At 47.1% G+C, this 15,744-nt stretch overlaps 1 long non-coding RNA gene across 1 annotated transcript; it reads left to right on the top strand.

The window, feature by feature from the left end:
- Positions 1–1,212: 1,212 nt before the first annotated feature.
- On the top strand, positions 1,213–5,080 carry LOC124903903 (uncharacterized). Its single transcript, XR_007065592.1, has 2 exons — positions 1,213–1,297; positions 4,769–5,080. It is a non-coding gene; the product is annotated as an uncharacterized LOC124903903 (long non-coding RNA).
- Positions 5,081–15,744: the final 10,664 nt, after the last annotated feature.

The raw sequence follows: 15,744 nt of genomic DNA, 5'->3' as shown, positions 1-15,744 counted from the left end.
AAGCCACAGAGAAGAGTGCTGCAGGGGCAAAGGAATTGCAAAAATCCCCAAGAACATGGAACCCACCCATCCTGCCCCCTGCAGGAGAGTTGGGGAAGGATAGCCAAAGGCAGAGCCAGACCAGGGCCACGTCCCCTGATTTCTAGTGCCAGGCCCTCTTGCCCACTCACAGACAAACTGACAATATTAATGGCAGAGGCACTCACATTAGGGCTCACTGTGTGCTTTACACGGGTTAACTCATTTAATCCTCTCATGTATATGGGAGTATATATATGCAGAATGTCACGACTGTTACAAAGACAGGTTGAGGCCAGATGGACCACCCCCCTGCCATCCCATATTCATATTTGTAACCCAAATGATACATATGAGGTCACAGCATCAATCCTCTCAATGCCTCAAGAGGCTAGAAACTATCACCATGAGTTGGTTATAAATAAGGAAACTGCGGCACAGAAGGGTTAGCTCATTTATCCAGGGTCACACAGCTCATAAGTTGCAGAGCTGGGATTTGAACTGTGGCTGCAGAGCCCACATGACTAAACAGGCATTCTTCCATCCACACCCTGACATGGAACAATGCCAGTGTACTCAGCTGATGCTTTGGGAGTCCTTACCCAACAGGACCTTCCTCGATCCAGAAGAGGATGCCCAAGAGTGGAGGTCAACTTTCTGGGGAAAGGACTAACTCCGATGTGTTTTCTGAATAGCACCCACTCGGTCATCTCTGTGGAGTATATATATTGACATATATCTCATATATATGTTAGACAGACAGACAGATAGATCAGCCATATCCATTATTTCTCATCACTAATCTATTGCCTGGTTCATTTCAAATGATTAAAGCATCCTGGGTTTTCCCTGCAAGTTGTGATACCTGGTGCAGAGAAAGCCCAGTGGACACTTCAAGGAAGAAGACCTGAATTCTGGTACTAACTCTGCTTATCTCATTAGCTGTGTGACCCTGGACAACATGGTGAACCTCTCTGAGCCAGTGCCTGATTACTCAGCAGTGTACGGAGATGTAATACCTTCCCTCCTATAGCACCATGCTAGGCACCAAAAACTGGGAGATGAGCAGAGCGTAGGCCCCATGCTGCTCCAAGGCTAGCAGCCAAGGGAGACAAGGACAAAAGCCATCACAGTGTCTGGCCAAAGTGAGGACACAAAGACAGGAGTGCTCAGACTGCATCAGAGGGGACAAGGAAAAGACATCATGAAGCTGGAGAACCCTGAATGGAGACTTGGAAGACAAGTTGGAGGTCTCCAGAGTGGAAGGGCTTGCAGGCAGGTAGGGCAGCCTAAGCAAGGCAGGCATGAGGCAGATGTGCATGGAGAAGGGGGAGTGGTTCTTAGGGGAGCTCTGGATATGAGGGGGTGGGATGGAGGACGGCAAGTGAGACGAGGGCTGCAAAGCCACTTTGTAACATGAGAGCTGGAAAGGCCCTTGGAGGACATCCACCCACAGGCTGCAAACTCACATACCTCCAGGGCTTAGGCAAGTGATAGCAATAAGTGAACTGGGCCAGGTGTGAGACAGTAGGAAGGGGTGGGGTGCATGGCAATTAGAAGGTAGGACCTGCCTAAAGGTACCCAATTTTTGACCTTCGTGAAACATGTCTGCAAGATGAATTTGAGCTTATAAACTCCTGCTCCATTCTGATCTTTTCACTATGCAGAATGCCATGACTGTTACAAAGACAGGTTGAGGCAGCTGAACCATCCCCCTACTATCCCATATTCATATTTGTAACCCAAATGACACATATGAAGTCACAGCATCAAGCCCCAAGACTGTTTCCCCTAGTTCCCTCCCTCTGTCTTCCTCTCTCAGTCTCAATTTCCACTGGGATCCTGGTCTCCAGCACAACACCCTGTTCTTCCCACACTTTCTGCTGTTGCCACTGAGCCAAGTCTGCTGCCCACTTCTCCACTGCCCCAGGCGCAGATCCCCCGGGATGCTCCCCTGTTCTTGCTCCATAATCGCCACTGCAGAGTGGCTGCAGACACGCTCCCTCACCACTAACTTCATACACCTAGATGGGCTCCCCAAGGGTTGCTTGGGCCCTTGGGAGTTATAGCTCTCTTTTTGACAATAGCAACTCTTCCCAGAGTAAACACAAGTTGCCATGGCGATTGGGTCAACAGGTAGCAAGGGAGGACTTTCAAGCAGCAGCCATTATGTTGTTTCTCAGAACAAGCCCTCCTCTGACTCCCAGGCCCCCTTTCTGAGCATTGTTTGCTCTGCTCCCTTTGTCCTGGGCCCCTTGCCATTTACATGGATAGAAGGAGCTGGGGCCCCAACCCAGGCTTGCTAAGCACATCCATAAATGCCTGTGTTCCCGTTGTCTTAGTCTGTTTTCTGTTGCTATTGCTATAACAGAATACCACAGACTGGGTGATTTATTTTTCTAAAAAAGAAGTTCATTTAGCTCATGGTTCTGGAGGCTGGGAAGTCCAAGTACACGGCACCAGCATCTTGTAGGGACCTTCATGCTTTGTCATAACAAGGCTGAAGTTATCACATGGCAAGAGGGCAAGAGCATGCCAGCTCAGGTCTCCATTCCTTTTCTTATAAAGCCTCCAGTCCCATCCCAGCAGCTTCACTCTGATGCCCTTATCTAATCCTAATTACCTCCCAAAGCTCCCACTCCTAATCAACATATGAATTTGGGGATTAAGTTTTCAACACATGAAATCTGGGGCACACATTCAAATCATAGCACCAGTCAAGGACAGTCTGCCGGCCCCTAGAGATCAATGGAGGTAAACATATCTGAGAGAGAGAGGTTGTCACCTCCACCCATCAGAGATACCCAAATCTCAGCTCCAGCCCAGATAAAACCTCTGCTATGTGTGTGCAATCCTAAACACACACACTCACAGTATGAAAAATTGAGGAAGGTGTTTAAAAATCACCCAAATCACCTCCTTTGAGAGGGAAAACACTATATACACTTCCCATGGTTTTTTTCTTACCCTTCTTTCTAAGATTATGTGGAGAAAGAGAAATAAACATATAGATTTAATGGTTGAAACATATGTACATGCAGTTGTATACCCTACTTTTTTGTTTGACATTATATCATAAGCATTTTCTTATTTCATTAGAATTCTTTACATCATTTTTGAATGATTCATAATAATTTACCAAATGGATATACTACACTCTACCATTGTCTTAATGGTGGGATATTAAGATTAGATCTAATTTAATGCTGTAACAAACATTATTGTCTCTATCTCTGATTATTTTCCTAGGCTGTATTTCTAGAAATGGAATTCCTAAGACAAAGAGTATAAATATTTTAAAGTTTTGATAACGCTTGCCAAATGCTCCCTAAAAAATTATTTTTCTATCATCTACATTTGAAAACTCCTGTCTTAGAACATCCTGTATACTATGCTGTTTAAAAAATTAAATATAGGTATATGTATACACATGTGAAATTGCAAGACTTCGATTTGCAATTAACATAAATTGAGAAGCACTGAATTTAAGTGCAATTTATATTAAAAGGATGTTCTTCACCTGGCCCTGGTCTTTAGGACAACAGGCCTCACGTTTGAAGTGCTGGTCAGCCCTGGATGGCAGTCCCTGCCAGTAATGAGTTAGAGAACCCATAGCCTTTACACCCCCCTGTTCTCTCTGACTTCTCCACTGCTGGCCGAGTCACTGACTGGGAGGTGGATAAATGGCTCTGTTGGCTGCCCTTGTTCCCAGAACCCACTTCCTAGCAATACAAGGGGCCCATTTGTCATTCTGCCACAGAGCTCAGCTCTGCCAGATATCTCATTCTGCCTCCCCTGCCAAGGACATGGTTCAGAAGGGCCAACTCAGATCTCAGGCTTTATGGAGCACTGGACAGAGCACCTGAGTGAGTACCGGGAGGTCCAATGTCTAACTGGCTGTGTGACCTTGGGCCAGCTATTGAGTCTCTCTGGGCCTGAGGGTCTTCAGCTGGACTCTACCATCTCCAAGGCACCCCACCCCCATCTCTCTGGGTCCCAGATGAGAAAATGGCCACTTTGGTCCTACTGATGGGCAGAGCCTGGCCACCTCCCTAAAGTCATCAATGAACAGAGCTGAAATAATATTCCAGGTCATGTAGAGGTAGGCAGTACCACATGGAGTTGGAGCAGAGACTGGAGACATTGGAAAGAATCAGGGAAGCTCCAAGACCATTCTCTATGTCCTGGCAGGATAAAGCCAAGTCTGGGGGAAAGTCAGCATGTGGAAAAGTGCAGCAAAAAAGGAAAGAGCTAGAAGACAGAGGCAGCTCCCAGCGCTGCCATGACCTGCTGGGCTCTGAGCGCCAGCCTGCTGTGGCTAACAGTGGCTCCCTACTGCCATGTGAAAGGCACATCTCCATCAGCTGTGGGTGAGAACAAAGCCCAGCCTGCTGTCTTTTCCATGGAAACCTGTGTTGCCAGATGTTCAATTCCTGTGGAATATATCCTGAGAAAAAGTAGGGAAAAGGTTCAGAGGATGGGAGGGGAAGTCCACAGATTTAAGAAATAGGAACAGTTGGTTTCAGACTCCAGGAAGGAGAAAAGGGGCTTTTGCTTTCTGTCTTTTCCCCTGTCCCTGAGTTTAAATGAAAGCGGCTGATTGATCAGCCGCCTCTCTTTAAAAGGAAGCAAACAAGGTGCTTTCAAGTTGTACGTGGGTGTGTCTCCACCGTCTTGACGCCAAGTGAAAAATGCAATTCTATTTATTTCATTGCTTTTAAATCTGACTAGGGATTTTATTTTGTTCTAGTAAATTGCCACTTGCAAGAGCCTCGGGTGCCAATGCAGTTCCTGGAAATGAGGGATAAGATTGAGCACAGAAGACTCAAAAATAACCGGGCGCTCCTCAGAGGGATCTGTGTCTTGGCAAGGAGGAAAATCACCCCAATGCTGCCTGTGATTCCAGACCCAGGGCTAGTCAGTGGGACCCAAGACCATGAACTCTGCTCACACTGCAGAAGATGCGGAGCAAGGGGCCTGGGTTTCTAGTCACCATGCTATCCAAGAGCTGCTCTGTAGACGTTTCAGGCCATTAGTACAAAAATAAATAAATAATGCAGGAGTCCCCAGTAGCTGGACGTTGGTGGAATGTTAAATACATTTGTGCTAGCCTCAGGAGTTTAGCTGTGCCCAAGCTGTGACCCTCACGCAGCTCCCAAGCAGAGAACATCGTGGCTCGCTGCCCAAAGAAGATGCACCCAGGACCTCTCAGCCAGGAAACCCCACCCCCTCTTCTGACACTGCCTCAGTCTCTTGCCTTGCCTTGCATCCCGATGAATATTTTACCATATGGGTTGGGCGATTGCTCTGAGGCTTTGTGAGTGCAGAGGGCAGAGGCAGCTGGAGAGGAGGAGAGGGAAGGGGTTCCTATTGGTGTAGACTCAGGGATGTTGACCTGCACAGCGGCTAAATCCGGCCTTTGTGCTAGTCCTCCAGGGCCCCCCCTCCTTCTTTTCTTGCAGCTATTCCTTTCCCCCATCCCACTTGGGGGTGTCCACCCCCTTCCCTTTTCCCCCAGGAGGTGATACCCCTCCCTGAAGGAATAATCTAATCTCAGCCCCCATCAGTCTCAGCTGTTGTCTTGCAAATTTTGCAGCCTCAGAGCTTGAAGGTTAGTGGCAATGAATTCTCCCTGGAGGAAGCAGAGAGGCCTCATTCACCTGAGTGCTTCTTCAGCTCACCATGTCCCTGGCTTTGGTTGTACATCTCCGGGGATGTGCACCTCATGGCCCCTAAAGGCAGCCCTGCCCAGCAAAGCTGGTGAGAAAATGTATTCATTAAACCCCCAAATGTTTCCTGCTGCCTATCAGTGCCAGGCACTGTGCTGGGAGCTGAGAGTATAGCAGTGAGTAAGGCAAGGGTTGTTTCTGGTACCATTAGAAGTAGACATTAAATAATTATATGAAAAAATTATGACTGTGGTAACTGCTACAGAGAATAGGATACTATGAGGATATATAAGAAGGAGGACTGGCCTCACTTAGAAGATCTGGAAAAGTTTCTCTAAGGAAATGATACTTAAGTTGAAAATTGAAGGGTTGGCAGAGATTGGCCAGGAGGAAGATAGAAGATTGTTCTGGGCAGAAGAAACTGCATGTGCAAAGGCCCTGAGGCTAGAGGCAGGGGGCATTGTGCATACAAGAAATTCCAAAGGATGACAGATGGAGTACAGTGAGCAAGGGACCAAGGAGTGCAAGATAAGCCTGTTGTAACCACCCAAGGGGTTCACCTTGCCCACTGCCTGGACAGAGCCAATTCATCAAGACAGAGGAATTGCAATAGAGAAAGAGTAATTCATGCAGAGCTGGCTGTGCAGGAGACCAGAGTTCTATTATTACTCAAATCAGTCTTCGGAGCATTCGGGGAGCAGAGTTTTTAAGGATAAGTTGGTGGGCGGGGAGAAGGAAGAGAGCCAGGACTGTTGATTGGTCAGAGGTGAAATCATAGGGAGTTGGAGCTGTCTTCTTGTGCTCAGTCAGTTCCCGGGTGGGGGCCACAAGATCAGATGAGCCAGTTTATTGATCTGGGTGGTACCAGCTGATCCATCAAGTGCAGGGTCGGCAAAACGTCTCAAGCACTGATCTTAGGAGCAGTTTAGGGAGGGTCAGAATCTTGTAGCCTCCAGCTGCATGACTCCAAAACCATAATCTCTAATCTTTGCTTATGTTTCTAATCTTGGCACATTTCTAATGTGACACTTGTTAGTCCTACAAAGACAGTCTAGTCCCCAGACCAGAAGGAGATCTGTTTTGGGAAAGGCTGTTACTGTCTTTGTTTAAACTGTAAACTATAAAGTTTCTCCCAAAGTTAGTTCAGCCTACGCCCAGGAATGAACAAGGACAGCTTGGAGGTTAGAAGCAAAACAGAGTCAGTTAAGATAGATTTCTTTCACCGTCTCAGTCATCATTTTGCATAGGCAGTTTCACTGTTACAAGTCAAGGGCCGCATGAGCAGGACCGTGGGGGTCACGTTAAAGATTTCTGCCTTTCTCCTAAGGGTAATGAAGTGGAATTGAAAAGTGTTCAGCAGGGGAGTGAGGCAAAAAGTTCTCCCCTACACAAATAAAAACCCCACTTTCTGTAAGTTACAGCGTTCAGCTCCATTTTACCTTTAGGGGTCACAGGATGATAACGACAACAATGGAAATTTGTCATAGTACGTGTTGGGTGCTGGCTACCACTGTGAGTGCTTTCTAGCGATAATCCTGTGAGATGGGTGCTGTCGTTGTCTCCATTTTACAGGACAGGTGCTGAGAGAGGGTGTAGCTTGCCCAAGATCTCACAACTAGCATGTAGTGGAACCAGGAAAGGAACCAAGGCAGTCAGTTTCCAGGGGCTGAGCTGGTAGCCACCAGGGTATTGACACAGGCAGCACCTGCTTTATTAAGATGGAGCTTCACACATTGGGAGACAGCAATCCTGCCTCTTCTTTGCCTGAAGGAAGAAAGGAAGGGGAAGGAGCATTAAATGAGCATCTGCTTTCCTTAAGTAATTTGCCCAAGGTTCTGCAGCTGGTCTGATTCCACAGCCTATGCCCTCTCCAATACATCAAATATTCTCAATTATTTTCTACTCAGTTCTCCCAACTAGTGGATTAGCTGTCCTTTCCAGCACTGTGTCATCAAGAAGTCTGACAAACACTGCCGTGTCTCATGGAAGTCGTCCCGGACAAAAGGGCTGTGGCAGGTGTGCACCAGAGAGCTCTTCATTCAGCCATCAAACAGGCTTATAGCCATCAAATGGGCCTCCATGTTTAACCCACCATGCTTATTCATCACATCGGGAATGCTTCTCCCTCTGGTCCTCAAGGAGATCATGCCCATTGTCAAGTGTTTTGCAAAAATCAAAATACAGCATGCAGAGTTATAGAAAGGGTCCCAAAGCAGAGATAGAAGAGATCAATTTGAGTCTACATTGCATAACTTAGCTGCGTGCTCCGGGGTAAATCCCATTTTCTTTCTGTTTCCTTGTCTGTAAAATGGGCATGTTATACTTCCCTGCCTATTTCCCAAGGCTGTTATGAAAGAGGGGGGAAAATAATAGTAAAGGAAAATGCCTTGAAAACCAGGAAATATTTTCTAGCTATGAGATTGTTTTAGAGTGTTTTCATGCTAGAATGGGCTAATAATTCTCTCAGGGAAATCCTTGGGTATGACTTTTTCTCAGGGAACCCACATTGGCTCCCTGGCTTCACTATTTTCTTTTTCCTTGCTCACAACTCAGCTGTTGAGCTGGAGGTTGTCATCTAACTCACTAGCTGTAGTCTTTCATCTACAATCTCCCTTTAGATTTCCATTCTAAATTATGGAATCTCACGGTGAGAAGAGACTCTACAGGTGAAATCATCTGGATTTCACCATGGGCCTCTATAATACACCTCCCTCACTGGCCACACAGAATTCCTGCTGCCCCATTGTGGTGGACATGATTGTCCTGGTGAAGTTTGGCCTAGTGCCAGTGCAGCCTCACGGCCACACCTATGGAAAATGAAGAAAGCCCATGCTTACAATTCCAACTAAGCTCAAAGAGGTCAGGAATTCACACTAAGGATGATAGAGCAGGACTGTCCATTGCCCCCTCAAGACAAGGGGGCTCCAGGGCACTGGGTTCATGCTGAGCCTCAATATTCCAGAAGCCTGGGCAGGTGCATGGGGGCGGGGGTAGGCCAGAAGGGAGACATTGGGGCCCCCTTTGGACCAATATCAGAAAGGCATGAAAGAGACAGCTGGTCTATAGAGTGAGTGACTAAGTCCAGCAGTGTCTGGATGTCTGCAAGGACCAGAAACAGATATTGGCAAGGAGATTCTCAGAATCTCTCAAGGAGGACCCAAATGCTGAAATTCAGGCTGGGATGCTACATTCACCAGCTGGAATATCACCAGGTATCCAGGATCAGAAGCACTTCCTGGTCACACACAGTCATCTTAGAGATGTACCTCAGCCCAGTGTCTGTGTTCAGGCCACCTTGCCTCCTCTTTACTGAGCCAAGCTTCCCCAAAGTTCTCCAGGAGAAAGTCTCTCCCTTGCAGATCTCCAGACCCAGGCGTCCTTCACAGGGCTGCCTTCCCTGAGTGACAGGGGCCTGCCTCAGCTGCCACCACTTAAACAGCTCCAGCGGAAGCCTCTCATAAGACTTGACCAAATGTGCTTTAAGGTGGAGATTACAAAAACAACCCACAACATACCAGCCCAGCAAACAGACATCCTGGGAATAACCAAATTGGTGGCTCCCAGCAGCTCTGCCCTCTCATTGCAGCCTGGGTCCCTGAATCCTCCCAGAACGAGGGTATATTCGTCTGTTTTTATACTCCTATAAAGAACTGCCTGAGACCGGGTAATTGATAAAGGAAAGAGGTTTGGTTGACTCACAGCTCATCATGTCTGGGGAGGCCTCAGGAAACTTACAATCATAGCTGGGGAGGCCTCAGAAAACTTACAATTATGGCAGAAGGTGAAGGGGAAGCAAGGTACCTTCTTCATAAGACAGCAGGGAGGAGAAATGCCAAGCAAAGGGGGAAGAGCCCCTTATAAAACCATCCGATCTCTTGAGAATTCACTATCGTGAGAACAGCACAGGGGAAACCACGCCCATGATCCAATTACCTCCACCTGGTCTCTCCCTTGACACATGGGGATTATGGGAATTGTGGGGATTGTAGTTCAAGATGAGATTTGGGTGGGGACACAAAGCCTGATCATATCATAGGGTAAATGGTAAAACTAGCCTTCTTGTTACAGCCATATAGCACAAAGTTTATGAGCCCTGTTGCTGGGTCAGGCTGCCTGGGTCCACAGGCCAACTCCCCCAGTCACTGGTTGTATGAAAGTGGGAAAGTTAATATCTCTGTGCCTCTGTTTCCTCATCTATAATATGGAGAACATAACAGTACTAGGGTTATTGTGAAGATAAATGGAGTTGATAAACGCAATGTGCTTAGGACAGCAGTTGGCCTAAGGTAGGCTCATGGAAGCGTTGGCTGTTCTTATTATACAAGAGTCTTGGGGAATGCCTTGGAGTGCAGTTTGGTTCTCCTGTTTTTATTGGGCCAAGCTTGACTATGTCTAGACCACGCGTTGCTGGCGTTACATTCCAAGTGTGCCTACTTACAGGATCGCATGGGATGCAGCTACAGAAACTGTGCTTGGCACAGCCATGATTCCTGCTCCCAGGGATGTCCCAGACCAAAGAAAGACAAAACTGCCTCCTCTCATATTTATCTGAAGAACCAGAGTAAGCACGTATCATTATTTGTTTTACAGTCGAGTTGAGTCAGACAAGAGAATACACATATATTTATTCTGAAAAAGGAACAGACTTCCTTGAAGGGTCCACCAGAGCCAGTAAAAAAGACTGATGTGTTAGGTATTTGGAAGAAGAAAGGAAGCTGGAGATTAAGTGCAGCAAGAGGCATTTTAATGTTCCTAGTAACTGATTTATAAATTCCTTGTTAAGGCTCTGCTCGCTTGATTCTTTGCCGTGAATATAGCATCACCATTTTTCCATTTTATAGTCTTGGCGGGAGATGGCCTTTTGCGGAGCTGCCACTTAAAGCACTTAACTGTGCCCCGGGGCATCTTGGGAAAAGGCTGATGGTAAGAGCCTGTCGTTGCCCCAGGGGAAGAGCTGTCCCCAGTGCAGTATGGGCTTAGACAGGCCCCTCCCTCTCTCGTTGGGCTCCAGCCCCTCCTCCTCCCCTGCTCTTCCCTTCCTCCCTTCCGCCTCTTCAGAGCTTACCTGCACTCCTGGGAGTCTGGAAACTGCTCCTGCAAACCCCCAGCCCTTGGCTTCTTCCTTGAATAACCAGAATTTCATTCCCATCTTTGGGAAATACCATTTCAGGCTGCTTAAGTTATGATTTAAAGCAGGATAAACCCAAGCCGATGACAACTTTTGGAGGGTTTTTCATTGATCATTTCTTCTGTTACTCTCTTGGCCTGAGTGATGACAAATGAATAGTTCTCCAGGATCCTTTTCTACAAGCAGCGCCTCCCTAAGCACGCTTCTTCTCAGAGTGGAGAGTGGAAGTTCAACTTCGAGGTCAGACAGACCTGGCTCCAACACTTACTCACAGATGGGAGCTTCTCCAAGTCTCAGCGTCCTCACCGGTAAAATGGGGACATGATTAACACCTGCCTCAAAAAGCTCTGATGTTATTCCATAACTTCTTGCAAGGAAGGCGAGGCCGGCAAGCCGGCTGTTACCATCATGGGTCACCTGGCTGAGTCCAAACAGGGCGTGTTAGCCCGAGCCCTTGGCGGAGACCCAGGCATCAGATCTGTAGCTCAGCGTGGCTCATGGTGAGGGTAGCAAGGGCCCCTGGGGGAGCCACCCACCTTGTGCTGGGCACTGAGTCAGTGACTGAACCCAGGCTGGGCACACAGAGGGCCTGCTTCTCCCACCTGAAGGCCAGCTGGTAAAGCAGAAGCACATGGATATTTGAGTCAAAAAGACCCAGGTTCTTATTAAAAACAAAAATAAATATAATAAAATCAAAATAAGAGAGTTGTCAGGGTGTGGTGGCCTGTAATCTCAGCATTTTTAGAGGCTGAGGCAAGACAATTGCTCGAGTCCAGGAGTTCAAGACTACCCTGGCCAACATAGCAAGACCCCATCTCTACTGTTGAAAAAATGAAAAATAAAAATAAAAGCCAGTCTCAACATTTCAGCATTACTTTTACCCCTCCCTTCCCCTCTCCTTTCCTCTCTTCTCCCTCCTCCCTTCCCCTCCCACCTCTCTCCCCGACTCTCACTCCCCTCAGTGCCCCAGCAAATAGAAGGGTCATAATATTATTGGGGTCATCAAATAAGATAATGGATATAAAGGGACTCTGTCAACTCTAAAGCACTTTATGAATATTCACTTTGATGGAAGAGTCCTCTGGGGATTTCTATGGTTGGGGGAGCCTGGTTGGCACTAAACAAGAAGAGCAAAACTCTCTCTTCCTGCTCTCGAGATGACAGCATTGGGGCCTCATCATATTAGAAAACAAAACCCAGGCTGGGAGGTGAGAACCAAATCCCAGTCACCACAGCAATTGGGCTGGTCAGCTGAGGTCACCCTGTCCTTTCACATTGGAATAAGATTGGCCCAAGCACTGAATCCTAAGATGTCTCTGAGTTCTCAGGGGCTCAAAGTCTGGGGATTACTTTCAACTCTGCATTGTAGCTTCAAATTCCGGCTGGCGTTCGTCTCAAAAGTAACAGCTAACATTTATTAAGCTGTTCAGAGTGCTTTGTGCGTATTAGACCATCCACTCCTCACAACCCCCTGTGAGGTAGAAATTATTAACCCCATTTAACAGATGATGGGAATGGGGCACAGAGAGGCGAAGTAACTTGCCCGAGGACACAGAGCTAGGACACTAACTATGGCAGCCAGGCACCAGCGCCCAAGCTCCTAACCTCCAGTGCCTCTATCTCATCACAATTTTTTTTTTTTTGAGACAGAATTTTACTCGTGTGACTCAGGCTGGGGTGCAGTGGAGTGATCTCAGCTCACTGCAACCTCCACCTCCCAGGTTCAAGCGATTCTCCTGCCTCAGCCTCCAGAGTAGCTGGAATTACAGGCATCTGCCACCACACCCGGCTAACTTTGTATTTTTAGTAGAGACGGGGTTTCACCATGTTGGCCAGGCTGGTCTTGAACTCCTAACCTCAGGTGATCCGCCCGCCTCAGCCTCCCAGGGTGCTGGGATTACAGGTGTGAGGCACCACGCCGGGCTTCATCACATTTTAACTCCCATGCGCTACTCCACTCCAACCTGGGCAACAGAGCGAGACTCGGTCTCAAAAAAAAAAAAGAAGCAACTCAAGTGTCCATCTTTATCCAATGAACGGATAAAGAAAATGTGGTTAATACATATGATGGGATATTATTGGATGTAATTAATTAATTACTTAATACTAATGGAATATTATTCACCCTCCATTCAGTGCACCTCCTCTCACTTTATTATGCCAAGCATTCAGTCCTAGCCCCGTCAGGACCCAGCGCTTGCCCTTTCAGGCCAAAGAGGCAAAAAATGGCATGACTGTGGCCTCTGCAGGAGTCCTCCATCCACATAGAGCCTGGTCTTGAAATTTCATTCTTCCCCTTCTCCCTCCCTGACCTTGTAAGTGGAAGATCAGGATTTATTTTCCCACTGAGATAGACTGTGCCCACCCCATCAGAGGTTCCTACAGTGGGATTTGGTGTGAAATGACACATTTTTTCACCCTTTTTCACAAGATATCATGTCTGTCTACAAAACTGTCTCTGGACTGGGCAAAATGGATTAAATCAATGGGGTGTGAGCAAACCAGTAAATAGTGTGGGAGGAAAATATTAGAACATTTATATTTTTATATAAAAATAAGAAATTAAACTATGTGTTAAATATTAACATAGTTTAGGAATGTACTAATATTCTGCAGATTGGTAATAGTATGATTTATAAATAAATGTGCCTGTTTTAAGACAGGGTGCTCAAAAATTATGAGCATTCTCTCATACAAAGATGGGGGAGCAACTAAAACGCTTGGTGACCATGGAACCAGGTGACAGTCCGGTTAGGTGACCATCAAGCTGGCAAACAGGTAATCTCAGAGAGAACTGACCAATCAGAAACCTGGTCTCTAGTGATCTGCCACAGAGCTCTACCTGCTGCCCTGAGCTGTTTGCAAAAGCTAATATTTTGGAGAATAGAAAAGTAAAATGGGTATTGCATTATTCTAAATTTTCTTTTTTCTTTTTTTATTTTTTTGAGACAGGGTCTTGCTCTGTCACCCAGGCTGGAATGCAATGGTGTAATCTCAGCTCCCTGAAACCGTCACCCCCTGAGCTCAAAAGATCCTCCCATCTCAGCTTTCTGAGTAGCCGGAACTACAGGCACCTACCACGATGCCCAGCTAGGTGTTTTATTTTTTGTAGTGACAGGGTCTCCTCGTGTTGCCCAGGCCGATCTCGAACTCCTGGGCTCAAGTGCTGGAATTACAGGCATGAGTCACCACCGTGCATGGCCTAGCCAAAGTTTTCTTGTCACATAATAACACTATATAATTGTCTATATATTCCAAAACCTCTAAGTTCTTTATTTTCTGCTTCACACAACTGAAACACCCTCTCCTTTTGAAAAAGAGTAAACAGAAAACATTCCAAAATACTAAGTGCTTATATTTAAGTGGTACGTATGTGAGAAATTTCTCTTCTTTTCTCTATTTTTCGTATTTTCCGTATGTGGATATATTGCAAAGAGCAAACGCAGGTATTTCTTTTGTTTTTCAGAATTTTTCCCGCCCTAAGCAAGTTGTGTTTTCATATACTCTGCCAAGAACCACACAGGAAACTGAGGCCCACAGGCCTTTATTTTTAAGGATATCAGCAAAAGAGGGCCCGGTGTGGTGGCTCATGCCTGTAATCCCAACACTTTGGGGGGCTGAGGTGGGAGGATTGCTTAAGCCCAGGAGTTCAAGACCAACCTGGGCAACATAGTGAGACTGCATCTCTACAAAAAATCCAAACATTAGCCAGGCGTGGTGGCACATGCCTGTGATCCCAGCTACTCTGGAGGCTGAGGTAGGAAGATCTCTTGCGCCCAGGAGGTAGAGGCTGCAGTGACTACACCACTGCACTCCAACCTGGGTAACAGAGCAAGACCTTGTCTCAAAAAACAAGGAGGAGGAGAGGGAGAGGGAGAGGGAGAAGGAGAAGGGAATATTGGCAGAAGTGGATAGCATGCCACTGGTTTGAGATGTTTCCTTCACATTCCAAAGAAAATGTCGGTGACAACATTTCACATTTGCCTTGCACTCTGCAATCTGCACACACCATCCCCCACGGTAAGCCCGGCTTGGGACTGAGCTTATCCGGCCCTGCCTGTCTGGGACATGGTGAGAGTGGTTAGGATTGTGGCTGTGCAGGCCATGCCATGAGGTTCAAATCCTGAGACCTGGCCAAGCCACCTAACTCCGTGCCTCCGTTTTGCCACCTGTAATGGGGTGTAATGATAATGGTGCTTGGCTCTCATGGTGTTCAAGGGTGGAATGAATTAATCCAGGCAAAGGTTTCAGAGCACTTCCTGTACTTAGTACATCTACCGAGGGATCTGCTGTAATGTTTATTTCCCATGAATCCCACACAGCTCACTCCCCCTTGTCATTTGTTCAAAGGTGCCCTCCTCTGAGAAGCCTTCCCTGACCATCCCATCCAACCCCCAACCCCACTGTACCCTGCCACCCTCTGGCCCCTACCCTGCTTGATTTTTCTTCATTGCACTTATGAGGTGTTCCCTGCTAAAGTGTAAGCCCCATGAGGGCAGAGACTTGATCTTCCCCATATTCTGAATAATCCCCAGTGCTTAGAATAGCACCTGGCCTATAGCAGCCACTCAGTAAATATCTGCTTGAATGAATGAGTACATTCCGTCTCTGTCCTCACATGAAACCTAATTTATAGGGATGGAAACAGATGCAGAGAGGTAAAGCGAAGTGTCTGGGGCACACAGCCAAGAAGTGACCCAGTGCAGCCTTGAAGCCAGGTCTTCTGACTCCAGGAGGACTCACCTTTCCCAATTAGCCTTCTCTGAAGGCCACTTGAGTCTCTCTGCTGGACCCACTCACTCTTCCCTGTCTCAGAACACTCATCTCTGCACTCCTTGCTCTGGCAACACTGAACACCCTGCAGTGTCTCAATCCTGTGACACCTCACTCACCTCACTCACCTCCAGGCCTTACCCATGTCATCTCCTC

This window comes from Homo sapiens, chromosome 17, assembly GCF_000001405.40.
Source record: "Homo sapiens chromosome 17, GRCh38.p14 Primary Assembly".
Classification (NCBI taxonomy): Eukaryota; Metazoa; Chordata; class Mammalia; order Primates; family Hominidae; genus Homo; species Homo sapiens.
Note: the sequence above shows the minus strand (reverse complement) of the source record. Positions and strands in the feature narration are given on the sequence as shown.